General features: G+C 44.5%; 1 protein-coding gene, 1 non-coding gene and 1 pseudogene across 4 annotated transcripts, besides 6 other annotated features; 2 read left to right on the top strand and 1 right to left on the bottom strand.

Moving 5' to 3' along the window:
• On the bottom strand, positions 5,685-6,417 carry PPIAP8 (peptidylprolyl isomerase A pseudogene 8; annotated as a pseudogene).
• Positions 8,378-8,597: an enhancer, noted in NCBI's record as "active region_6845". NCBI's record gives its function as "activates an Ori minimal core promoter by ATAC-STARR-seq in GM12878 lymphoblastoid cells {active_cell/tissue: GM12878}" and the evidence as "EXISTENCE:reporter gene assay evidence [ECO:0000049][PMID:35858748]".
• Positions 8,646-9,270: an enhancer, noted in NCBI's record as "NANOG-H3K27ac-H3K4me1 hESC enhancer chr12:98987254-98987878 (GRCh37/hg19 assembly coordinates)". NCBI's record gives its function as "activates a minimal SCP1, AML or CMV promoter by ChIP-STARR-seq in primed H9 embryonic stem cells {active_cell/tissue: H9 hESC(primed)}" and the evidence as "EXISTENCE:reporter gene assay evidence [ECO:0000049][PMID:30033119]".
• Positions 8,848-8,947: an enhancer, noted in NCBI's record as "active region_6846". NCBI's record gives its function as "activates an Ori minimal core promoter by ATAC-STARR-seq in GM12878 lymphoblastoid cells {active_cell/tissue: GM12878}" and the evidence as "EXISTENCE:reporter gene assay evidence [ECO:0000049][PMID:35858748]".
• Positions 8,856-21,537, top strand: SLC25A3 (solute carrier family 25 member 3). 3 transcript variants are annotated; one of them, NM_005888.4, is made up of 8 exons: positions 8,856-8,910; positions 9,145-9,305; positions 10,603-10,727; positions 13,026-13,205; positions 13,692-13,873; positions 15,125-15,297; positions 16,341-16,451; positions 16,538-21,537. In NM_005888.4, the coding sequence occupies exons 2-8, from the start codon at positions 9,149-9,151 to the stop codon at positions 16,696-16,698; spliced, it is 1,089 nt and encodes a 362-aa protein (NP_005879.1). In that variant the 5' UTR covers positions 8,856-8,910; positions 9,145-9,148; the 3' UTR covers positions 16,699-21,537. The 3 variants fall into 3 exon arrangements, with proteins under 3 accessions (NP_005879.1, NP_002626.1, NP_998776.1); NM_002635.4 differs by lacking the exon at positions 10,603-10,727 and adding an exon at positions 10,897-11,018; NM_213611.3 differs by lacking the exon at positions 10,603-10,727 and adding an exon at positions 10,897-11,018 and having other exon boundaries at positions 8,856-9,305.
• Positions 9,271-9,895: an enhancer, noted in NCBI's record as "NANOG-H3K27ac-H3K4me1 hESC enhancer chr12:98987879-98988503 (GRCh37/hg19 assembly coordinates)". NCBI's record gives its function as "activates a minimal SCP1, AML or CMV promoter by ChIP-STARR-seq in naive and primed H9 embryonic stem cells {active_cell/tissue: H9 hESC(naive and primed)}" and the evidence as "EXISTENCE:reporter gene assay evidence [ECO:0000049][PMID:30033119]".
• Positions 10,644-10,873: an enhancer, noted in NCBI's record as "active region_6847". NCBI's record gives its function as "activates an Ori minimal core promoter by ATAC-STARR-seq in GM12878 lymphoblastoid cells {active_cell/tissue: GM12878}" and the evidence as "EXISTENCE:reporter gene assay evidence [ECO:0000049][PMID:35858748]".
• On the top strand, positions 14,805-15,054 carry SNORA53 (small nucleolar RNA, H/ACA box 53). Its single transcript, NR_003015.1, has one exon. It is a non-coding gene; the product is annotated as a small nucleolar RNA, H/ACA box 53 (small nucleolar RNA).
• Positions 25,827-26,027: a silencer, noted in NCBI's record as "peak1907 fragment used in MPRA reporter construct". NCBI's record gives its function as "represses an SCP1 promoter by STARR-seq MPRAs in K562 erythroleukemia cells {active_cell/tissue: K562}" and the evidence as "EXISTENCE:reporter gene assay evidence [ECO:0000049][PMID:32103011]".

The raw sequence follows: 26,427 nt of genomic DNA on the forward strand, positions 1-26,427 counted from the left end.
AAGTAGCTGGGATTACAGGCACACACCACCGTGCCTAGCTAATTTTTGTATTTTTAGTAAAGACAGGATTTCACCATGTTGGCCAGGCTGGTCTTGAACTCTTGACCTCAGGTGATCCACCTGCCTCAGCCTCCCAAAGAGCTGGAATTACAGGCATGAGCCACCACGTCCAGCTTTGCCTGGGGATCTTTTAAAAATGGCAGATTCCAGGACACTTCATCAGCCTTAGTAAAACAGAATCTTTTGAAGCCTAAAACCATCTGTGTCTTGGCAGGCGCTTTAATGAGAAATCAGATTTGGGAACCTTCACTTGTGATGGCCATGCCTCACTCAAAAGCTCTCTTAACCTTATGGATTATAATCACTGAGTGACTAAAGTTGCCACATATGCATATACCTTCTGTAGGGACTATTTTAGGGTCTGCCATATCTAGAGATGCTTCCCCACTAGCGGACAAACACTATTCTATGACTGCAATGGCAGAAAGAAGATTTCAAGATATTAAGAAGGAAGAAACTGGGCAAAAGAATTCACATGCCTATTATTTCCTATAAAATACAATGTCCGCTGGGTGCTGTGGCTCATGCCTGTAATCCAGCACTTTAGGAAGCTGAGCTGGGTGGATCACCTGAGGTCAGGAGTTCAAGACCAACCTGGCCAACATGGCAAAACCCCATCTCTACTAAAAATACAAAAAATTAGCCAGCCATGGTGGTGGGTGCCTGTAATCCCAGCTACTCAGGAGGTTGAGGCAGGAAAATCGCTTGAACTCGGGAGGCAGAGGTTGCAGTGAGCCGAGATCATGCCACTGCACTCCAGCCTGGACAAAAGGAGTGAAACTCCATCTCAAAACAAAACAAAATAAAATAAATAAAAAATACAATGTCCCTGAATATGCAAGAATAACTTCATTGCTTTCAACCCCTTGCACAAACATGGATGAATTCAAGAGTCTGAACCTCAGCCCCAGAGCTGGGTCTGCTCTCAAGGCTGAACTTAGGATACCCTTCAAAAAAAGGATAGGGGCATTTTGTCTTTCTAACACTGTCCAGAATGGAAATTATGGCCCCATTAAAAAGAAAAAAAAAAAAAAAAAAAGGCTGGGCTCAGTGGCTGACGCCTGTAATCCCAGCATTTTGGGAGGCCAAGGCAGGCAGATCACCTGAGGTAAGGAGTTCAAGACCAGCCTGGCCAACATGGCTAAACCCTGTCTCTACTAAAAATACAAAATTAGCCGGGCATGTTGGCACATGCCTATGATCCCAGCTACTCGGGAGGCTGAGGCAGGAGAATCGCTTGAACCTGGGGGCGGAGGTTGCAGTGAGCCAAGATCGTGCCACTTCACTCCAGCCTCAGCGAAAGAGCAAAATTCCATCTCAAAAAACAAACAAACAAACAAACAAAAAACAGGCCGAACACGGTCTCTCATGACTGTAATCCCAGCACTTTTGGAGGCCGAGGAGGGTGGATCACTTGAGCTCAGGAGTTCGAGAGCAGCCTAGCCAACATGGTGAAACCCCATCTCTACTAGAAATACAAAAAATTAGCTGGGTGTGGTAGCCCACGCTTGTAATCCCAGCTACTTGGGAGGCTGAGGCAGGAGAATCCCTTGAACCTAGGAGGTAGAGGTTGCAGTGAGCTGAGATTACCCCATTGCACTCCAGCCTGGGTGACAGAGCGAGACTCAGTCTCAAAAAAAAAAAAAAAAAAAAAAAACACCAAGATTCCTAATCAAAAAAGACAATAACCAAGGTGTTAGTGGATATTACTCATTTTTTCTCTCAGGGTAGATATGAAAAGGGTTATCATGAGGGGCTTTGGTCTACCTTGCATAATTTACTAGAGCTATACCAGGAATTATTTAAGGATTTTCTTGTTATTCTCCATGTTAGAAATGATCCTTATATCTACAAGTGTGGCCGAGCGCAGTGGCTCATGCTTGTAATTCCAGCACTTTGGGAGGTGGAGGTGGGTGGATCACCTGAGGTCAGGAGTTCGAGACCAGCCTGGCCAATATGGTGAAACCCTGTCTCTACTAAAAATACAAAAATTAGCCGAGCGTGGTGGTGCATGCCTGTAATTCCAGCTACTCGGGAGGCTGAGAGAGGAGAATCACTTGAACCCAGGAGGCAGAGGTTGCAGTGAGCCGAGATTGCACCATTGCACTCCAGCCTGGGCAACAAGGGTAGAAACTCCGTCTGAAAAAAAAAAAAAATCTACAAGTGCATCCTTGACCTCTAGCTCTAAGTTTACACGTCTGTTGGCAAAGTTCCACTTGAATGTCCTAACATCTCAAATTCTAACAACCTTGACTTTATCTCTCAAATATGATTCTTGGTTAGGATTAGCCACAAGGGAAATCTGTGAAGATAGGAAAGGCAGAAGTGAAGCAGCAGCCATTACAGTCTGAAGGTCAGTCTAGGACACTAGGCACATCTCACGCACATTGCTGCTCATCTGCTGGCTCACCCTGGTGCGAGGAGTAGCTAAGTCTAGAGCTCTTGCAGTTCCTACTGAATATTCTTGTTTCTGCAAGTCTGGGTGAGACGCAGGTGCAGCGCATGGCTCCTATAAGCACCTGCACCAGGCTACTGCAGGCACCTGCCTCATTGAGGTGTAAGTGATAAGAGACAGATGCTCAGTCTAGTTTATCCCCATGGGATCCAGATTCTCTTTGTGGGCTCCAGTTTGTTCCTGCCCATGTTCACTCTAGCTTTTCTGCCTAATGGTAAGCAGTACTGATTTACAGAAATTTCAAGACCAATACCAGACACAGAGATGTTAGACTCCTTCATAGACCTTTTCCCATGCTCACAATTTCATGAGACTTAACCCCTAAAAAAAAAAAAAAATCTCTTATTCCACATGACTTATACTGCTCATACTTCTCTGGTCAAACGCTGAAACAGACAATGGTATTGGAAACAATTCCAGGAGAACAAAGCTTTAAGAATGGGTTCCCTGAATTTGTTCTCCGTTGTCTGGATTGGTTCTCTGATCTGATTATATTTAAACACCTTGCAAGACAACTACCTAAGGGGAGGCCATTAAAGGTTTAACAAAGCAGAGACTAACCTCCCCAGTCAAAGAAGGAAGGGCTGGCCGGGTGTGGTGGCTCACGCCTGTAACCCCAGCACTTGGGGAGGCCAAGGTGGGCGGATCACTAAAGGCCAGGAGTCTGTTTGAGACCAGCCTGGCCTACACGGCAAAACTTCGTCTCTACAAAAATTAGCTGGGCGTGTTGGCGCGCACCTGTAATTCCAGCTACTCTAGAGGCTGAGGCAGGAGAATCGCTTGAACCTGGGAGGCAGAGGTTGCACTGAGCTGAGATCATGCCACTGCACTCCAGCCTGGGCGAGAGAGCAAGACTCCGTCTCAAAAAATAAAACATACATAAAAGAAAGAAGGGCTGTTTTTACTGGCAAAAAATTCTCAACAGAATTTAGGGATTCATGATCCTGATGTCATCATAATTTGCCCATGTGTCCTTTTTCCAAAATTTGGGATTTTACCTTCACTCCAAAAAATGCCCCAACTTTAACAGGAGACCCTATGAGATTGGAAATTCATTTTGCATTGTAACTCAGTTAGATGTTGAGTTTGGCTTTCAGAAAGTACAGCCTTGCAAATACAGGAAGGTAATCATACAAGCTTTAGTCAGTGAGAAAGGCAACACTGTTGTCTATGGCATGCATTAGCAAAAACAATGCCCTAAATTATTACCTGTAATCAAGTGCCTAAAGAAGGCAAGGCTGGCCTGGCGCAGTGGCTCACGCCTGTAATCCCAGCACTCTGGGAGGCTGAGGCGGGCGGATCACGCGGTCAGGAGATCGAGACCATCCTGGCTAACATGGTGAAACCCTGTATCTACTAAAAATACAAAAAAAATCAGCCGGGCATTGTGATGGGCGCCTGTAGTCCCAGCTACTCGGGAGGCCAAGGCAGGAGAATGGCGTGAACCTGTGAGGTGGAGCTTGCAGTGAGCCAAGATCGTGCTACTGCACTCCAGCCTGGGCGACAGTGCGAGACTCCATCTCAAAAAAGAAATAAAAATAAAAAAAAGAAAGCAAGGTGTTGGGTTGACCAAGCAGATGCTTTGGATTGGTTTGCTTCTTCTAATTATGTTGGATAACTGGGGGAAAGAAAATGATAACTTAGGGCTTTAACTTCTCAGTTCAACATCAGATAAAGGACCAGAAAGCCTTGACTGCTTTGTTTGTTTTTTGAGATGGAGTCTCGCTCTGTTGCCCAGGCTGGAGTGTGATAGTGTGATCTCGGCTCACTGCAACCTCTGCCAGCCTCCTGGCTTCAAGCGATTCTCCTGCCTCAGCCTCCTGAGTAGCTGGTACCACAGCCGCGCGCCACCACGCCCAGCTAATTTTTGTATTTTTAGTAGAGACAGGGTTTCACCGTCTTGGCCAGGCTGGTCTTGAACTCCTGACCTTGTGATCGTCCACCTTGGCCTCCCAAAGTGCTGAGATTACAGGCATGAGCCACCGCACCTGGTCGCCTTGACTGCTTTGCTGTATCTGCAAGACTGTACTTTCTAAAAATCAAACTCAAAATCTAATTCTGAATTACAATGCAAATTGAATTCCCAATCTCATAGTGTTTAAAGTTAGGGCAATGTTTTGAGACCCAAAATTTTGGAATAGTGACACCTGGGCAGATTATGATTCCACTAGGACCATGAACCCCCATATTCTTTTTTTTTTTCTTTTTTGAGACAAGATCTCTAACTGTTGCTTAGGCTGGAGTACAATGGCGCGATCTCGGCTCACTGCTACCTCTGCTTCCCAGGCTCAAGTGATCCTCCCTCCTCAGCCTCTTGCGTAGCTGGGACTGCAGGGGCATGCCACTATGCCTGGCTTTTTTTTTTTTTTTTTTTTAAGAGACAGGGTTTCACCATGTTGTCCAGGCTGGTTTTTAACTCCTGGACTCAAGAGATCCACCTACCTCGGCTTCCCAAAGTTCTGGGATTATAGGCGTGAGCCACCATGCCCAGCCAGAACCCCTAAATTCTGTTGAGCCTCCTTGTCAGTCAAAGAAGCCCTTCCTCTCCTGTCTGAGGAGGTTATGTTCCTCGTCCCTGTGAAATCTGTAATGGCCTCACCTGAGGTGGTTGCCTGGCGGGATCTGCTGATTCTTCTTAAAACCTACTGTCCACTTTGGGAGGCCGAGGCAGGTGGATCACCTGAGGTTGGGAGTTCGAGACCAGACTGACCAACATGGAGAAACCCCATCTCTACTAAAAATACAAAATTAGCCGGGCATGGTGGCGCGTGCCTGTAATCCCAGCTACTCCGGAGGCTGAGGCAGGAGAATTGCTTGAACCCGGGAGGCAGATTTGAATCTCCACAGTGGAGAGTTATGGTCCTTCAGGCAATTTCCCTACTTGTGTCAGGTTGGAGGCCGAGAGCCTCTTGAATGTTAAGGAGGCCAACCCCCTTGTCTTAGTCCATACCTGCTGCAATAACATCACCTAAAGACGGATAAAAGGATTTTGTATCCTCTTTTGGGTAGAATTAGCTTGTTCACAATTGTCCAAGGGACAGCTGCTTCATGTTAGGTAGAAGTCTGATTTTGCTCTTTAGTTTTTGTCTGGAAGTTAAATATGATTACAAGAGGTGTTCATTGATGCCATGTTGACAACCGATAGACTCTGGTACTTTTTTTGTTGCTGTTGTTAATTAGTTTTTATTTCATAATCATAAACTTAACTCTGCAATCTAGCTAGGCATGGAAAGGAACAAGGAAAACATAGAACCCAAAGGGAACTGCAGTGAGAGCACAAAGATTCTAGGATACTGCGAGCAAATGGGGTGGAGGGTGCTCTCCTGAGCTACAGAAGGAATGGTCTGGTGGTTAAGATAAAACACAAGTCAAACTTATTAGAGTTGCCCACAGTCAGCAATGGTGATCTTCTTACTGGTCTTGCCATTCCTGGACCCAAAGCACTCCATGGTCTCCACAATATTCATGCCTTCTTTCACCTTGCTGAAGACCACATGCTTGCCATCCAACCACTCAGTCTTGGCAGCACAGATGAAAAACTGGGAACTGTTTGCGTTGGGTCCAGCATTTGCCATGGACAAGATGCCAGAAACTGTATGCTTCCGGATGAAGTTCTTGTCATCAAATTTCTCCCTGTAGATGGACTTGCCACCAGTGCCATCATGGCATGTGAAGTCTCCACCCTGACACATAAACCCTGGAACAATTCTGTGAAAGCAGGAACCCTTATAGCCAAATCCTTTCTCTCCAGTGCTCAGAGCATGAAAGTTTCCTGCTGTCTTTGGAAACTTGTCTGCAAACAGCTCAAAGGAGATGCGGCCCAAGGGCTCCGTGTCAAAGAACACGGTGGGGTTGACCATGGCTGATAGCACAGGGCTCCTGGCAGCAGCGGTGCCTGCAAAGCCCAGTGGTGTTTTTTTTACCATGTCAACTTAGCTAGGCTAGAACCACATTTCCTAGATTCCTTTCCCTGCATAGTTTTGGGTTAGGGCTAGCTATAAGAGAAATGTGTGCAGTTTGGAAGGCAGAAGTGGAGCAACAGTCATTACATTCTGAAGGTCACCAGCTCCCACATGGGGTAGGAGCTGGGCCTGCAGCTCCTTCAGTTACCACTGTATCTTCTAGATCAACTTCTGTGAGTTCTGGGCCACGAGCATGTGCAGCCCCATGGTGAAGGGTACCAGCTGTTCCAGCTGAAAAAATGTGCAGCAAAGGGTCACGGTATTACCCGGTGCTGGGGGAAGGGAATAGGAAGATTCACTACAGTCATATATTTTTACATAATATTTGACTTTTTCATGACAAAGGATTTTTAAATTAGAAAAGCACCATAAAGTTGAATTAACCAAAAAAGAGAGAGAGAAAGTCCAGACCCTTCAGTGACTACCTCTGTCTACATAAGATCAGACTCCTCAGTCTGGTATGTGAGGCCCTGGACAATCAGGTGCTAGTGTACTTTTTTAACTTTATCTGTCACTACTTCCCTTCCTGTGCCCTCCACTCTGGAATTCTTCCTGGGACTGTAGGACTTTAGTTGGGCCAGAAGGGCTGGGTCTGGGATAGGGTTGCTTAGAGAGTGCCGTGATGCCGCAGCCTCAATGCTAACTTTTGTTTTTTTGTTTTTTTTTTTTTTTGAGACGGAGTCTTGCTCTGTCGCCCAGGCTGGAGTGCAGTGGCATGATCTCGGCTCACTGCAAGCTCTGCCTCCTGGGTTCACGCCATTCTCCTGCCTCAGTCTCCTCAGTAGCTGGGACTACAGGCGCCCGCCACCTCGCCCGGCTAATTTTTTGTATTTTTAGTAGAGACGGGGTTTCACCGTGTTAGCCAGGATGGTCTCGATCTCCTGACCCCGTGATCTGCCCGCCTCGGCCTCCCAAAGTGCTGGGATTACAGGCGTGAGCCACCTCGCCCGGCCAATGCTAACTTTTTTTAGGTAACATCTTCTGTAGACTTTTAGACATTATCTCATTGAGTTCTCATAGACTCTGCAAGGTAAGTATTACTCCCATCCAGAACCAGACACCTGATTTGCAGGGTCCAGTGCAAACTAAAAAAAGCGTGGCCCCTTGTTCATACATGTATTAAGAATTTCAAGCCGGGCATGGTGGCTCAGGCCTGTAATCCCAGCACATTGGGAGGCCGAGGTGGGCGGATCACCTGAGCTCAGGAGTTCGAGACCAGACTGGCCAACGTGACGAAACTCTGTCTCTACTAAAAATAGAAAACTTAGCCGGGCGTGGTTGTGCACGCCTGTAGTCCCAGCTACTCCGGGGGCTGAGACAGGAGAATCGCTTGAACCCGGGAGGCGGAGGTTGCGGTGAGCTGAGATCGCCCCACTGCACTCCAGCCTGGGCGACAGAGCAAGACTCCATCTCAAAAGAAAAAAAAAAAAAATCAAAATGACAGCAGAGCATTAAATGAAGTGTAAGGCCATGTGTGACTGTACCAGTGTGAACCTATGAGGCCAGTCCCACCCCTATCTTACATCTAGGGAACAGGTACACAGAGATGAAGTAAATTCCCAAGGTTACTTTGTCAAGAGCTTGGAAAATATAAGAGTCAGAAGTCTAACAGGTTGAATCCCTATTAAACTCTCCCCAACTAAACTACGCCCCTCCCTGTTGAGCTGAATCTAATGAAAGCTTCCTAAATGTATTAACCACACACACGCACAATCTGCTATCAGTCACTTTCAGTAGTTCATCGCTGTAACATCTCAGGAGTTCAATGTTTCAACGTGTTCTGTAGATTACTGTGATAACGCGGCAAGCTGTCGTAAGACTTCTTGCTGCACATTTCTTTTTAAAATATTCTCCAGGAGTCTGATGAAAAATACAGACATACCTATGTTTAATGTCAATGGATGGAACTTATTTTAAAAAGTACTGTAATGGCAGAAGTTGTGACACAAAGTACTGCAGTGATGTTGTAACTCCAACACCTAAATATATTATCAAGCATTCGCGTTTTGTTTTGTTTTTTAAGTGACTACTAGATACTGTGATTCACTTAAGTGAAGCGAACTGAAGCCCGTGGTCAAGGAGAGACACCTGAAGGTGAAGGGACAAAGCGAGCAGGGTAAGAGCTCGAGCCCGACCCCTCTCAAAAAATATAGACCCGGAACGCGCGCCTGCGCAGAACGAATCCTCCCGCGCACAAGCCGGGCGGAAGAGCTGGGGCGGGCAGGGGCGGGAATAAGGTTGCTAGGAGAACGCGATGACGCTACGGGCTCGGCGCTCTTCTCCACCAATGGGCGACGCGTACTTGCAGTGGCGCGCTGTGTGCGTCACGCCGACGACGCGCGAAGGGCACACATCTTAGGACCCGGAGGACGTCCGGCCTCTGTGAGCCGCAACCTTTCCAAGGGAGTGGTTGTGTGATCGCCATCTTAGGGAGTGAGTGTGGCCGGGCCTTCTCCTGTGGCGGGTGTGGGGAGCGGAGCCCAGAGCTCCTGTGGGGCCGCTGCTTTGGCGGTGGGCCCAGCCGGGAGCAGCCTCTTTCGAAGGCCGCCGTGACCTCTTCAAGGGCGTGGAGACGGGAAGGAAAAGGCCCCGGTTGGGGTTCCAGGGCGCCGGTAACGTTAACCGGCGCCTTGCCTGTCCTCTAACCGTCGCTCCCTCCTCCCCTAGAAAGATGTTCTCGTCCGTGGCGCACCTGGCGCGGGCGAACCCCTTCAACACGCCACATCTGCAGCTGGTGCACGATGGTCTCGGGGACCTCCGCAGCAGCTCCCCAGGGCCCACGGGCCAGCCCCGCCGCCCTCGCAACCTGGCAGCCGCCGCCGTGGAAGGTGAGATCAGACCCTGCCCAATACAGTCGTGTGGTCTACTTGTGGGCCGCCCAGCCTTTGAGGCCTGGACCCGGCTTGGAGGACAGGGAAGGACGAGTCCAGCCCGCTGCACCGTAGGACGGCGCCCAGTTGCTTGCCCTGGGGTATCGGCCTTTTCCACCATAGGCGGGTGTCAGATCCTTGGCCTTCCCTCAAGGGCGTGGAAGCGCTGAGGCCCTGTGTCCCTTCGTGACCTCCGTGTGCCCGAGGGAAGAGAGGCCGTGACTAGCTCTTTCTCCGCCGTGAGCTCGCTTGGTCAGCAAACTAAGTACTGGGTAAACTCTCCTCCCGAAACTACTGACCACCCACAGTTCTACTAACTATATTACCTGTCCTTTGATTTGCCCTTAGTTTTCTTAAAAATAGTCCTTTCCTAAGTTTTATATTTGTCGACGCCAGGTCAGTCATTTTTGCACTTAATTGTATATGAGATAACTAGATGTCCTGTTTTCGTGCGACTGGAGGAGGCAGCTTGCAGCCCTACATAGGCAATAGAAAGGAGATAATTGGTGGGCGTCCCTTTGGTGTGATTATCTCTTGGGATTCTTGGTGGTTGGGCCCAGCTTTAACTTAGTTGTGTGTGTTTTAAATCCTAGTGAAGTATGTACATACAGAGAAACCTGAAAACCGAATTGTAGGAGTCCTAAGAATGTTATCTACCTTGTGCCTGTAAAATCGAAAGATTTTTTTCTTTAAATCATTCATGTGCTTCTGTTGTCTTTAGTATGGATAGAGTCCTTATTTACACTATCTGTCGTTCAGTTTAAAAGTTAAAGCTAACATTATTTGTGTATTAAATGTATTTGACTGCAGGAATTTGTGCGTATCCGTTTTTATGTTACAGGAGTTCTTAAGTGGGGATAGTATTGGTTAGTGGCTGGGATAAACTTTGAAGTTGTTTGCAAGCCTTTTACATGTCGAGTGATCTTTCTGAGTTTCGTTTGTACTCTGAAGTGTGCTCTTACCAGTGGTTAATAATTTGAAGTTTGACTTTAATTGTAAAAGCCGTTAATGTAGAAAACTTTTAAAAAAATTAATATGGCAGAATACGAGCTATTAATAGTATCAGATACAGAACCCTCATAATTTTTAAATGATCTGAATTTGGCAGTGAATTTTTTTTTAAGCCACTTAATTGTGGCCAAAGCTATTCAGCTGTGATAATAGTATCTCACAGGGAAACATTTTCTTTCATTCCAGTGGCCTTAGTCATCTCTGAAGAAATACTTACTTGATTTTTTTTTTTCCAATCAAACAGAGCAGTATAGCTGTGACTATGGATCTGGCAGATTCTTTATCCTTTGTGGACTTGGAGGAATTATTAGCTGTGGCACAACACATACAGCATTGGTTCCTCTAGATCTGGTTAAATGCAGAATGCAGGTTTGTTTTGCATGCTGGACTAGAGCATATTGAAGCATGACTGACTGTTAAGTTATAAGATATAGTCATCTAACAAGCTGTGTGGAAACCTAACTGTCCAGGAGGTAAGTTTATGACCAGTAACATGAGTTTTATATTAAAATGCATGGTGTGTCTTCTCTTACTACAGAGTACAGTTGTGAATTTGGCTCCGCGAAGTATTATGCACTGTGTGGCTTTGGTGGGGTCTTAAGTTGTGGTCTGACACACACTGCTGTGGTTCCCCTGGATTTAGTGAAATGCCGTATGCAGGTTTGTATTGAGATGACAACATTGAAAGTATCTCTCATGTGACTTAACTCTAAATAAAATCTTAAATGAGAATTTGAAGACATCACAACTGCTAGAAACTTCAGTAGGAAACCACATAGAATTTCTTTAAATTGTGGGCTTTATTTTGACTAGTGTTTTAAATCCAATAAATGCCTCTATTGTTTGAGTAAATTGTTCACTTTTAGAGTCTGGCTGTAAATGGCTCTTTGCTGCTGCTCTTCACTTCTGGCCGGAGTTCTTCAAGCTTACTAGTGCCCCAAATAGTCATTTAACAAGCACCTATGTGTTGGAGTGGGTAAACAAGTCTGTGTATTATGTGAAGTAACAATGTCCTTTATCTACTAATAAGACCAAGGCAAAGAGTACATGTAGATTTATTTAAAGTGCTCTTAATATCTTAGTATGAAAATTTTGTCAGATTAGCCTCTTGTTTATTTACACAACATTTTAAAATAATTTGAATATATTTTAATTAAGATCATTGAAACAAAAACAAGACATCGAAAATTTATTTGTTCCAAACTGGATTAGAAGTCTACTTACCTAAAAGAGAAATGAATTTGAAATATTAGGAGGGAGAGGAAGGTGATGTATACCATCCCTTCTAGTACTGGCAGAAATAGATAAGCTTTTCCTCCCCCCCCATTAGTTAATGTAATGGATATGAAATGTACCTTTGCTAAAACGTGTTATGCATGTCTCTTGAAGTGAATTTAGTTTATGTGCTTTTTTTTTTTAACTTGTGTTTAGTTTGTTTAGTGTTCACAAAACTTTATGCTATAAGCTACTTAAAGAACTAGCATATGTTAGGAATACAGTTATATCTATTATCTAGACAGTAGCTTTTAAAAAGTAGGAGGTGGGCCAAGCATGGTCGCCCACACCTGGAATGCCAGCATTTTGGGTAGCCGAAGCAGGTGGGTCACTTGAGGTCAGGAGTTCGAGATCAGAACTCAATCTAGCCAACATGGTGAAACCTCATCTCTGCTAAAAATACAAAAATTAGCTGGGCATGGTGGCGTGCCTGTAGTCGCAGCTACTCGGGAGGCTGAGGCAGGAGAATCGCTTGAACCTGGGAGGTGGAGGTTGCAGTGAGCTGAGATCACACCATGGCACTCCATCCTGGGCTACAGAGCAAGACTCAAAAAACAAACAAACAAAAAACACAAAAAAAGTAGTAGGAGTTGGGTGGTAAGAAATCTGTTAAGAATCAGTTTTGTTACGTATTTTTGTTGAAATTTTACCCTCTTAACTATCACTCCAAGACTTAAGTTTGACACAGAAAGCTTTTGTTGAAATTTTACCCTCTTAACTATCACTCCAAGACTTAGGTTTGACACAGAAAGCTAGACCTTAATGTACAACAGTTTCTATTTATAAAAGTAATCAAATGAACAATAATAAACAGTGATAAGCATAAACTAATAAAAGTTATATGAATGTAGTTCCTCACTCAAAATATCTTAATATTTTCAGATGTCAGTTGACCTTGGATAACTGAAGCCACAGAAAATGAACTCTTGGATAAGGGAGAGCTACTGTATTTCTTTTTTTTTTTTTGAGATGGAGTCTTGCTCTGCTGCCCAGGCTGGAGTGTAGTGGTGCCATCGTGGCTCACTGCAACCTCCACCTCCCTCCCTCAGGCTCAAGCGATTGTTCTGTCTCACCCTCACCCTCCCGAGTAGCTGGGATTACAGGTGCACGCCACCATGCCCGTCCAATTTTTTGTATTTTAGTAGAGATGGGGTTTCACTGTGTTGCCCAGGCTGGTCTTGAACTCCTGAGCTCAGGTAATCCACCTGCCTCAGCCTCCCAAAGTGCTGGGATTACAGATGTGAGCCACCGTGCCTGGCAGGAATTACTGTAGTTACCTTTTGTGTAGTTGCTGAAATTTATTATGGAACCCAAACAAAAATAATCATGAGATTAAATTTTTATGTTAGCTGTTTGGTGCATTTAATTTTTTTTTTCTTGTTTTAAATAAAGGTGGACCCCCAAAAGTACAAGGGCATATTTAACGGATTCTCAGTTACACTTAAAGAGGATGGTGTTCGTGGTTTGGCTAAAGGATGGGCTCCGACTTTCCTTGGCTACTCCATGCAGGGACTCTGCAAGTTTGGCTTTTATGAAGTCTTTAAAGTCTTGTATAGCAATATGCTTGGAGAGGTATGTAATTAACTTTAAAATTGAATGTTCCGAGTGTTTAAGACTTTCCGAGTGTTCTTAGATTTTTGTCTGTCTTGCCTTATTTTAGCACTGAAGAAAATGGTCCTACAAAGTGAGCAACTTGTTTTAAATCGTATGCCTGTGTCAGCAGAGACAGGTTGATAAATGTATTTCATTAAATTACAATTCTCCTTTTAATATACTATCTTGTTTTCTAAGTAAGTTGGATTTTGAGTTTTTTAGAGAAGGGCTCTGGGACTCCTTTGCGTAGTTCCGGGGCATGGCATCTAGATATTTTTTGAATATTCATGTTGTTCACATAGTTACGTGTTTTGTTAATGAGGTTATGAGACCACATATATATTCCATATCATCGTGTGTTACTTTATAAAATGTCTGAAGCTTAGTTGTTTTCTAGAACTGTCACTTCAATTGAAAACCAACACAACAGCAATTCACATCCCTTCCTTGTGTTTTGGATTTTAGGAGAATACTTATCTCTGGCGCACATCACTATATTTGGCTGCCTCTGCCAGTGCTGAATTCTTTGCTGACATTGCCCTGGCTCCTATGGAAGCTGCTAAGGTTCGAATTCAAACCCAGCCAGGTTATGCCAACACTTTGAGGGATGCAGCTCCCAAAATGTATAAGGAAGAAGGCCTAAAAGCGTAAGTAAACACTTAAAAATTTATACTATGAAAGTACTTATTTTAAGTGAACTTCATTTTTTTTTGTTTTTTTTTTTGTTTTGTTTTTTTGAGACAAAGTCTCGCTCTGTCACCCAGGCTGGAGTGCAGTGGCGTGATCTCGGCTCACTGCAAGCTCCGCCTCCCGGGTTCACGCCATTCTCCTGCCTCAGCCTCCCAAGTAGCTGGGACTACAGGCGCCTGCCACTGCGCCCAGCTAATTTTTTGTATTTTTCAGTATAGACGGAGTTTCACCGTCTCCATCTCCTGACCTCATGATCCGCCCACCTTGGCCTCCCAAAATGCTGGGATTACAGGTGTGAGCCACCGCACCCGGCTTCTTTTTTTTTTTTCTTTGAGACGGAGTTTTGCTCTTGTTGTCCAGGCTGGAGTGCAATGGCACTATCTCAGCTCACTGCAACCTCCGCCTCCCAGGTTCAAGTGATTGTCCTGCCTCAGCCTGCTGAATAGCTGGGATTACAGGCATGCACCACCACGCCTGGCTAATTTTGTATTTTTAGTAGAGACTCCATGTTGGTCAGGCTGGTCTCGAACTCCTGACCTCAGGTGATCCACCCGCCTCGGCCTCCCAAAGTGCTGGGATTACAGGCGTGAGACACCGCGTCTGGCTGTGAACTTCATTTTTTAGTATTAAGCCTACCAGACTTTTTAAAAAGACTATTATAACATTTAATGTCTATTTACCTGTATGTAGAACATAAACTTGAGAGGTAAAGATAAGTTAATACATGGTTTGAGCCCTGGACTGAGTTTTTTTTTTTTCCCTAGAGTAAGGACCATTTGTCGGTCTACAAATGACTTGATGTTTGGCCTAAACATTTACTATTAACTTTTAGGGAGGGCTTGTTAGTATCCTTGTGATCTATTCACAGTTAAGAATTTCCATGACCACAACATGCTTCCTTAGATCCACCTTTGTGGATGAATCTTGAACTGAGTTCCACTTGTAAACTTCTTGTTTCTTGTGGTTCCAGTAGTCAAAGAAACATCCAGCAACTTTTTTGGTTGTATAGTCAAAGGTGCTTGAGTCATTGGCATGTAAGAGAAATATACCTGCATGTTAGTCTAACGTTCTGATAGAAATGACATGCATTTATGCTGCCATTTGTTACTATCAGGACTCGACTCGTGTGCGGACATTTCTGTTAATAATGACAGTCTCTGATAGATGAGTGTATGCAACTGTGTAAAACAAGTCTCTTGATTTCCTAGATTCTACAAGGGGGTTGCTCCTCTCTGGATGAGACAGATACCATACACCATGATGAAGTTCGCCTGCTTTGAACGTACTGTTGAAGCACTGTACAAGTTTGTGGTTCCTAAGCCCCGCAGTGAATGTTCAAAGCCAGAGCAGCTGGTTGTAACATTTGTAGCAGGTTACATAGGTACGAATTACTTAGAACACACTTGTCTGAAATTATGAACAAATAATCATTTCCATTATTGGCGTTTTTTGAGAGGGAAAAATACTCCAAAGGTTATAAAGCAGTGTTTTTGTTTTTTTGGTTTCCCTGAGGCATAGTCTCGCTCTGTTGCCCAGGCTGGAGTGCAGTGGCATGATAATAGCTCACTGCAACCTCCTCCTCCTGGGTTCAAGTGATTCTTCTGCCGCAGCCTCCCAAGTAGCTGGGACGGGCATGCACCGCCATGCCCGGCTGATTTTTGTTTTTGTTTTTTGTTTTTTTTTGAGATGGAGTTTTACCCTTGTTGCCCAGGCTGGAGTGCAGTGGTGCAATCTTGGCTCACTGCAGCCTCCGCCTCCTGGGTTCAAGCGATTCTCCTGTCTCAGCCTCCTGAGTAGCTGGGATTGCAGGCGTCTGCCACTACGCCCGGCTAATTTTTAGTATTTTTAGTAGAGACGGTTTCACTATGTTGGCCAGGCTGGTCTCAAACTCCTGGCCCCAGGTGATCTGCCTGCCTTGGCCTCCCAAAGTGCTGGGATTACAGGCGTGAGCCACCGCGCCTGGCCTGATTTTTGTAAAGATGGGGTTTCACCATGTTGATGAGTCTGGTCTCAAACTCCTGACCTCAGGTGATGTGCCTGGCCTATAAAGCAGTTTTATCTTCCCATAACATTTTATATGCTTTTTAGGATTCATAAATACTTGCTAACTAGTTCCTAAAAGGGCTGTTTCATGGGATGTCATTATTAGGCTTGGGAATGTATTGATCTTACTGTTGCACCATTTTTTTGTTGTTGTTTATTAAGAATTTTATACAGAAAGTGTTGAATAAAATCTGAAAAACTTTAAAAGATTGTTCCGTTTTACATAGGATAGACAGCTTGATAACTGTACCCGTGTCACCCTGAGTCTGATTTTTATTTTAGAACTAGAAAAATATTATTTTAAAATCATAAAAATGATTATTGGCTCTGTGAAGTTTTGTTTTTAACTGGCACTGTATGGGATCCTTTATCTTTTTTCAGCTGGAGTCTTTTGTGCAATTGTTTCTCACCCTGCTGATTCTGTGGTATCTGTGTTGAATAAAGAAAAAGGTAGCAGTGCTTCTCTGGTCCTCAAGAGACTTGGATTTAAAGGTAGGATGATGTTTTTTTCTTGAAAGAAAGAACAACAGTTTTGGATATGTTGCATTTTTTTCATTTGCTTTTCCTGTTTGAACCAGGTGTATGGAAGGGACTGTTTGCCCGTATCATCATGATTGGTACCCTGACTGCACTACAGTGGTTTATCTATGACTCCGTGAAGGTCTACTTCAGACTTCCTCGCCCTCCTCCACCCGAGATGCCAGAGTCTCTGAAGAAGAAGCTTGGGTTAACTCAGTAGTTAGATCAAAGCAAATGTGGACTGAATCTGCTTGTTGATCAGTGTTGAAGAAAGTGCAAAAGGAACTTTTATATATTTGACAGTGTAGGAAATTGTCTATTCCTGATATAATTACTGTAGTACTCTTGCTTAAGGCAAGAGTTTCAGATTTACTGTTGAAATAAACCCAACTCTTCATGATTTGCCTGTGACTTATTTTTAAAACTTTTTTAAAAAAGATTTAGCTTTAAAATAGTTGGAAAGAATGAAGTATATAAGTTAAGGAAAAAATACAAAACTGACCATGACCATTGTTGGTTGAATATTCCAGTTGCTATTCAGAAATTGTCATATGTCTCAAGTTTTATCACACAAAGTTCCTGTATTTCTAGGGAAGCAGACTTTAAATTTCTAAAAACTTGATTTAATTATAGTTAAATATGTGTAGTCATTTGTGGTTATTTTGGCAAGTAAATGTCAGTGTATACTTACATTTTTGCAGCATGTACTACACCTTTTTTATGTTGGTGAGTTTGCTAATCCTTATTTGTAAGACAAGGTAAACCAAATTAGGCTGATTCTTAGAATGACAGTAAAGGACCAAAGTGATTGACAGCTGAAAACAATTTTCAGGTACACTAATTCTCTTTACACAGATCTGACTTTTTTTTTTTTTGAGACGGAGTTTCACTCTTGTTGCCCAGACGAGTGTAGTGTCGCGATCTCGCCTCACGGCAACCTCTGCCTCCCAGGTTCAAGCGATTGTTCTGCCTCAGCCTCCCAAGTAGCTGGGATTTCAGGCATGTGCCACCACGCCCAGCTAATTTTGTATTTTTAGTAGAGACGGGGTTTCCCTGTGTTGGTCAGGCTGGTCTCGAACTTCCAACCTCAGGTGATCCGCCCGCCTCAGCCTCCCAAACTGCTGGGATTATAGGCATGAGCCACCGTGCCCGGCTCTGACTTTTTACAGAAAATTGAACTATTTTCAGTCTGGTATTTTAAGAAAGGTACTGCTTGACAGCTGAACTATATGAATGCCACTGGGGAAAAAGCATTCCATCATACTTAGATACGAGATTGGATTGTAGGTTTAAGCCCATTTTTAAAGAGCTCCTAGAAAGTGAATTAGTTTTTGTGTTTAGATTCCCCTTAAGTTTGATTAGGAAGTGTATAAAAGTTCAATCTTTTGTAATGACAGCCCACCACTGGAAAAAAAACGAAAAACCTAGTGTAATATATAACATGCTGTTTTTCAAACACTAGATTTTACCTAGAGTCCTTATGTGTAATACGTGGGTTGGTTAACAGTCCCTACGTAAAGCGTACAGATGGCCTGGAGAGAAAAACTTTTTCAGAGATTGGAGAGAAATGTTACTACAAACTCATGGTAAGGTCAGTGAACTCAATTTAGAAGCCAGTGCAGCTAGTTGCATGTTAACTTCTTTATATCATCATTGCCTGAACTTGTTAAAGGTTCCAACATTTTACCTGTGCTGCAGGAAAAAAGGAAAAGTTGTAGGTACAAATTTGGACCAAACTTTAAAAAGGTAAAGTAGGATGTCTTCTGAACCCAACCAAGTGGTGGCTGTGGTGCTTAGCAGTATCAACTGTATATTATTTCTTGCTATGTTAGCAAAGCATCCAAAGATCAATGGTGTATGATAAGCTTTTCTGTGGGTGAAGAACTCGGGAGTATCAGACTCTTCTGGTTCTGAGTCTCATGAAGCTTTTCACTTCTGAGCTGAAAGGATGCTCTTTGTGCTTTTCACTATTAGTGGTATAGTCTTTCCCGAAAATCTCTAGCATGGTGGCTTCAGGGCAGCTGGACTTAGGTGGTATTTTGGGGCTCCAGGAGAGCTTGGCAGAGTTGGCTTTTTAGGACTTATCCTTCAATGTCACATAACATCACTTTTACCATGCTCTTGGTTACAACAGTGATGTCTCAGAAACCAAGTCCCAGATTGAGGAAAAAAGGAACATAGTCTCTACCTCTTCCTGAGAGGAAAGTCAGTCAACGTGTAAGAGGAGCAGTAGAAACGCATTAGTCCAGCCAACGTGAAAGTGGACCGTAGATCTAAAACATTTTGGGTATGCAGTTCAGCCAGCCCTTACTGAGGCAGTTCTGCCAATCAGGATTCAAGTTTTATTTCCTAAGAGTTATAATAGGTTTTATTTGTGGGCATTGATACAAAATACGCTGTGTTCAAGCTATGGAGCCTGCCACTGTAGTTACTAGAGTTACGGTTCAAAGCTATTTCTGAGAGAAAGCCACTTCATCCTCAAAACCCAAGAGGCCCACTTAAAGTGATGCGAATTCTCATTTCAGGTTTTTAAATTATACTAAAAGATTCTAGTAAGAAAATTTTAATATGTATGTATTGGTGTTCTTTTTACATTTCATTTAATGAAATGTCTACTGTCAATACGATAAAGCAGAACCCAGTGGAGTAAGAATACACGAAACTGCCAGGCACAGTGGGTCATGCCTGTAAACCCAGCATTCTGGGAGGCCGAGGCGGGTGGATCACCTGAGGTCGGGAGTTCAAGACCAGCCTGACCAACATGGAGAAACCCTGTCTCTACTAAAAATACAAAATTAGCTGCGGTGGTGGTGCGTGCCTGTAATCCCAGCTACTCAGGAGGCTGAGGCAGGAGAATCGCTTGAACCCGGGAGGCGGAGGTTGTGGTGAGCCAAGATTGCGCCATTGCACTCCAGCCTGGGCAACAACAGCGAAACTCTGTCTCAAAAAAAAAAAATATATATATATATATATATATATGAAGCTGATAGTTGAATTATGTTGATTCAGGGACAAGATAGCATTGCATAGTAACTTCCAGTAGGATCAAATATTTTGAGAGTGGTTAAAACGCCAAGGAATCCTGATTTTATGAAATTATGCCTTCTGATAGGTGCAACAAAATTGAACAGAAGAGTAACAGCTTAACTAAACCTCCATTGTGTGAAAGTTTTATGAAATGTTTTGACTTTTTTTTTTTTTTCCCTAGAGAACAGGGTTCTTGCTTTGTCGCCCAGGCTGGAGTACAGCCTTGAACTCCTGGGCTCAAGCGATCCTCCTGCCTCAGCCTCCCAGTTAGCTGACACAATTGGGATGTGCCACTACTTGCTCCTGTTTTTTCATAGACGGGTCCTGCTGTTGCTCAGGCTGGTCTCGGATTCCTGGCCTCAAGCAACTTTCCTGCCCCAGCTCCTAAAGCGGCCAGGGTTACAGGTAGCCGCCTTGTCTGTCCCGTTTCGACCATATTTTATTTTTGAGAAGGTCTTGCTCTGTCGCCAGACTGGAGTGCAGTGGCACGATGATAGCTCACTGCAGCCTCGATCTCCCAAGCTCAAGTGATCCTCCCACCTCAGCCTCTTGAATAACTGGGACTGCAAGTGTGGACCACCATGTCTGGCTAATGTTTTTTATTTTTAGCAGAAATGAGGTCTTGCTATGTTGCCAAGGCTAGTCTTGAACTCCTGAGCTCAAGCGAGCCTTCTGCCTTGGCCTTCCAAAGGGCTGGGATTAGAGGGCTGAGCCACCACACTTGGCCAACCATATTTTATTTTTTATATTTTTATTTTATTTGATCCTTGTTCTGAAACCATAAAGTGAGTTTAACATTTCTGGCTGGGCACAGTGGCTCATGCCTGTAATTCTAACACTTTAGGAGACCAAGGCAGGAGGATGCCTTGAGCCCAGGAGTTTGAGACCATCCTGGACAACATAATGAGAAAAGAAAATACAAAAATTAAGGGGTGTGGTGACACATGCCTGTAGTCTCAACTATTTGGGAGGCTGAGGCAGGAGGATTGCTTGAGCCCGAGAGGTTGAGGCTACAGTGAGCCATGTTTACGCCATTGCAGTCCAGCCTGGGCGACAGAGTGAAACCCTGTCTCAAAAAAAAAGTAACATTTCTATATGATTTTTGGGATCGACATGTCCATAATGTTAATGAAGCGCATAGCAGTCACTAGTAAATTAGGAGTTATACATTGCTTCTATAGCATCAGAAATTGTATATCAGGCCAGGTGCAAAAGCTCACTCCTGAAATCCAAGCACTTTGGGAGGCTGAGGTGGGCGGATTGCTTGAGGTCAGGAGTTCAAGAACAGCCTGGCCAACATGATGAAACCCCAGGTCTCTACTAAAAATACAAAAATTGGTCAGGCATGGTGGTGCATGCCTGTAATTCCAGCTACTCGGGAGGCTGAGGCAGGAGAATTGCTTGAACCCGGGAGGCAGAGGTTGCAGTGAGCCAAGATTGTGCCACTGCACTCCAGCCTGGGCGACAGAGCCAGACTGTCTGAGGAAGAAATTGTATATCAGGCTGGGCACAGTGGCTCATACCCGTAATCCCAGCACTTTGGGAGGCCCAGGCTGGGTATCACTTGAGCCCAGGAGTTGGAGACCAGCCTGGGCAACAAAGTGAGACCCCTCTCTCTACAAAAAATAAATTAGCCAGGCATGGTGGCACGTGCCTGTAATCTCAGCTACTTAGGAAGCTGAAGGAGGATCGTCTGAGCCCAGGAGTTTGAGGCTGCAATGAGCTACAATCACACCCCTGCACTCCGGCCTGGGCGACAGAGTGATAACCTGTCTAAAAAAATAAAAATAAATTGTATAATCATATTGCAATTTTCTTTGCATTACTGATGAGGAAAAATCTCAAAGTAATTGTAAAAAATCCTGGATATCACATAGTTGAGAAACAAAGTTATTTTAAACTTACAGGACTCTGTAGTTCACAGTTGAACACTGTGGCTTCCTGAAATATCAAAGAATAATGTACATTAATAAGCCAGCTACTATCGGCATCTTGTAAAAATTAAAAAATTAAACATAAATAAAAGTTCAAACTATGTGTTGAATCATTTGTCTTTTACAAGCCAGCCCTGACTTCACATTCTCAGAGGTGTTCATAGAAGTGCATGAGATGTTAACCTCACCACTGATAAGGTTTATGAATCTCCTGGTTATTAAGGTGTGACCTGACAAGTTTCCTAGAAAGCAGCTATTCCAGAGTTTTCATGTGTGTTTTTATAGACACTGAAGTGCAGTATGCAATAGTCACTTAATAAGTATTGCTACACTGAATGAAAGAGCCTTGGGGATGTGTCTCTTACACAAGATATAATTCCTACCTAATACTGTGAATAATAATTTGATGTTCAAATCAGCCAGCTTGCTTTGCAGAATCCAGTGTATTGCAAAGTTTGAAGATGGAAAATAATTCATGTGACAGGCCATATCATTATTCCAAGACCCATGATCTTAACACTAGAGGGCTATATTAGTCAAGGTTAAAACTGCTAAATCTCAAGGAAGCATTAACATCTGAAAATATGGTATACCCAACTTTTACTCATGGATAAGTTTGACGGTAAAATGTCATTGTACTTGATGTTAATAGGTTATTGGGAACTGTTACGTTAAGTGAAATCACAAATAATGAAACTATTTTTACCACAGCCTAGTTGATATAAATGAGTTAAGTTCCTACAACATATTTCTGGTCACGAAAATATAACCAAACTAATAAAGACCAAAACAATTCTAATATTAAGCATTAAATAAATATGAGCTATACATGCATTTAAGGAAGATTATGGTCGGTCGCGGTGGCTCACACTTGTAATCCCAGCACTTTGGGAGGCCCTGGCAGGTGGATCATGAAGTCAGTAGTTCGAGACCAGCCTGGCCAACACAGTGAAACCCCCATCTCTACTGAAAATACAAAAATTCACTTAGGCATGGTGACGGGCGTCTGTAATCCCAGCTACTCGGGAGGCTGGGGCAGGAGAATCGCTTGAACCCAGAAGGCAGAGGTTGCAGTGAGCCGAAATCGTGCCACTGCACTCCAGCCTGGGTGACAGAGCTAGACTTCGTCTCAAAAAATGAAAAAAAGACTTCCTCTCAAGCTTGGCGTTTGGTCGATGGGGACCCACAGAGGAAGCAAGTTGGCAGAGTGAGGTGGGTCTACGGAGAAACAGGAACAACTCCCAAGATCACATGGCTCCTGAGGTAGAGAAAGTGCCTCTACTGACGCTGGCCGTTTGTTCCAGATCCCAGGAGGACGCGTTATACCACAATTCTTTTGGGGGGATGCTGGTGAGATACTTATAAGAAATCCTCTTCTTTCTTTCCTTTTCTTTTTTCTTTTTTTTTAGACGCAGTCTCGCTTTGTCACTCAGGCTGGAGTGCAATGGCGCAATCTTGGCTCACTGCAACCTCCGCCTCCCAGGTTCAAGCGATTCTCCTGCCTCAGCCTCCCGAGTAGCTGGGATTACAGGCGCCTGCCACCACGCCCGGCTAATTTTTGTATTTTTAGTACAGATAGGGTTTCGCCATGTTGGCAAGGCTGGTCTTGAACTCCTGAACTCAAGTGATCCCTCACCTCTGCCTCCCAAAGTGCTGGGATTACAGGTGAGCCACCATGCCCTGCCTGTTTTTTCTTTCTTTTTTTCTTTCATGAGCTGATTCTTAAAACCAGAGCTCTTGGCTGGGCGCGGTGGCTTACGCCTGTAATCCCCAGTGCTTTGGGAGGCCGAGGCGGGTGGCTTGCCTGAGCTCAGGAGTTCAAGACCAGCCTGGGCAACACAGTGAAACCCCGTCTCTACTGAAATACAAAAAATTAGCCGGGTGTGGCAGTGTGTGCCTGTAATCCCAGCTACTTGGGAGGCCGAGGCAGGAAAATTGCTTGAACCTGGTAGGCAGAGGTTGCAGTGAGCCGAGATGGCGCCACTGTACTCCAGCTTGGGCGACAGAGCAAGATTCCACCTCAAACAACAACAACAAAAAAAAAACAGCCCTGTCGACCGGGCACGGTGGCTCACGCCTGTAATCCCAGCACTTTGGGAGGCCGAGGCGGGCGGATCACAAGGTCAGGAGATCGCGGGCGGATCACAAGGTCAGGAGATCGAGACCATCCTGGCTAACACGGTGAAACCCCGTCTCTACTAAAAATACAAAAATTAGCTGGGCATGGTGGCGGGCACCTGTAGTCCCAGCTACTCCTCCCAGGCTGAGGCAGGAGAATGGCGTGAACCCTGGAGGCGGAGTGCAGTGAGCCAAGACTGTGCCACTGCACTCCAGCCTGGGCAGCAGAGCGAGACTCCGTCTCAAAAAAAAAAAAAAAAAAAAAAAAAAAAAACAAAAAACAGAGCCCTGACTAACCCCCGTTGTGGCTGACTGTAAGTTCTGTGAAATCAGGGAACACTTGATGATAGCTAGTAGTTGCCCACTGTGTATCCACTGAAGCACCTACCCTGGCATTCTACACATATTCATAAATGTTTTTGAACAAATGAATGAAACAACTAAGGGTAAAACTATCTGCTATTTATCCAGAGGCAGAACCAGAGTCATGGGCCCATGAGTGGACACAAGTAATGGGACACGGAATATTGATCAACCTGTTCTAGATGTAACCTCAGTGTCTGAATACTAGACAGAGGTGGAACTGAGACAGGCCATAGGTGAGATAACTATTTCACAAGTAAGCTATATCCCATAGCCTTCTTTAAAAGGGTGAGACAATGATAAGGTGTGATAGTTAATTTTATCCATCAATTGGCTGGGCCATGATGTCCAGACGTTTGGCTTAACATTATACTGGATGTTCCCGTGAGGGTGTTTTTTTGGATGAGATTAACATTCTAATCAGTGGACCTCGAGTAAAGCAGATTGCCCTCCATAATGTGAGTGGCAATCCACGTTCAATCAGTTGAAGGCCTGAATAGAACAGAAGAGTAATCCCCCAACTCCCACCCAAGCAAGAAGGAATTCTGCCTTCAGACTTGAACTGCAACACCAGCTCTTCCCTGAGGATCCAGACTGATGGCCCACCTTGCAGATTTTGGACTTGCCATCCTCTATAATCCATGTGAACCAATTCCTTAAACCTCTCTCTCTCTCTCTTCCCCTACATCTTGTTGCTTCTGTTTCTCTGGAGAATCCTGACTACTACACAAGTTTCTGGTAATAATGACTCAATTTTTCTTTCTTTTTTTTTTGACACAGGGTCTCACTGTTGCCAGCGCTGGAGTGCAGATCATAGCTCACTGCAGACTACCTCCTGGGCTCAAGCGATTCTCCCACCTCAGCCTCCCCATTAACTGGGACTACAGATGCACACCACACTGGTTAATTTTTTTTGTAGAGCTGAAATTCACCATGCTGGCCAGGCTGGTCTCAAACTCATTAGCTCAAGTGATCTGCCTGCCTCAGCCTCCCAAAATGCTGGGATTACAGGTGTGAGCCACTGTTCCTGGCTATCAATTTTTCAAATAAGACAGAACATATGAAATATTTCCTGGCAATAGCTTGGAGAAGGTGAACCAAGTCAGAGTACATAGTTAACTTTTCCATGGCAAAAAGCCCAAGGATTGGTGATGAGCCACTCTGATATAAGTATTCATAAACTCAGCCGGGCATGGTGGCTCACGCCTATAATCCCAGCACTCTGGGAGGCCGAGGCGGGCAGATCACGAGGTCAGGAGATAGAGACCATCCTGGCTAACACGGTGAAATCCCGTCTCTACTAAAAACAACAACAAAAAAATTAGCCAGGTGTCGTGGTGGGGGCCTGTAGTCCCAGCGACTCGAGAGGCTGAGGCAGGAGAATGGCGTGAACCCGGGAGGCGGAGCTTGCAGTGAGCCGAGATTGCACCACTGCACTCCAGCCTGGGCGACAGAGCCAGACTCCCTCTCAAAAAAATATAAGAGGCCCGGCGCGGTGGCTCATGCCTGTAATCCCAGCACTTTGGGAGGCTGAGGCGGGTGGATCGCCTGAGGTCAGGAGTTCGAGGCTAGCCTGGCCAACATGGTGAAACCCCATCTCTACTAAGAATACAAAAATTAGCTGGGCATGGTGGCGCAATCCTGTAATCCCAGCTACTCGGGAGGCTGAGGCAGGAGAATCACTTGAACCCGGGAGGCGGAGGTTGCAGTGAGCCGAGATCGTGCCATTGCACTCCAGCCTGGGCTACAAGAGCGAAACTCCGTCTCAAAAAAACAAAAATAAATAAATAAAAAATAAAAATAAAAGAGAATTCATAAACTCGCCAGGCACAGTGGCTGACACTTGTGATCCCAGCATTTTGGGAGGCCAAGGCAGGAGGATTGCTTGACTTCAGGAGTTCGAGACCACTCTGGGCAGTATAGGCAGACTTCATCTCTACCAAAAAAAAAAAAAAAAAAAAAAAATTAAAAAAGTAGTTAGGGTTGGTGGTGAATTCATGTAGTCCTAGCTACTCAGGAGGCTGAGTGGGAGGATTGCTTGAGGTCAGGAGACAAGAGGCTGCAGTGAGGCATGATCATGCCACTGCACTCCAGCTTGGGCAACAAAATAAGACCCTGTCTCAAAACAACAACAACAACAACAACAACAACAACAACAAACACACAGAATTCATAAACTCTTATTTTTGAGGTGACCAGCTCTGTGGATCTGGATATCCTTCACGCTAGGCATTTGAAACTGGGGCTAATGCTGTGTGGGTTTACTTTAGGTTATTATAGTGTACTTAAAAACATATATTGATGAGAGATTACACATATAAACACAAATATTTCAAGTGTATACTGTAATGCCAGAACTCTGGGAGGCCAAAGCAGAAGAATCACTTGAACCCAGGAGTTCAAGACCAGCCTGGGCAGCATAGGGAGATTCCATCTCTACCAAAAAAAAGAAAAAAAAAGAAAAAAAGAAAAAAGAAATTAGCCAGGCATGGTGGCTTGAGACTGTA

This window comes from Homo sapiens, chromosome 12 (genome assembly GCF_000001405.40).
Source record: "Homo sapiens chromosome 12, GRCh38.p14 Primary Assembly".
NCBI lineage: Eukaryota > Metazoa > Chordata > Mammalia > Primates > Hominidae > Homo > Homo sapiens.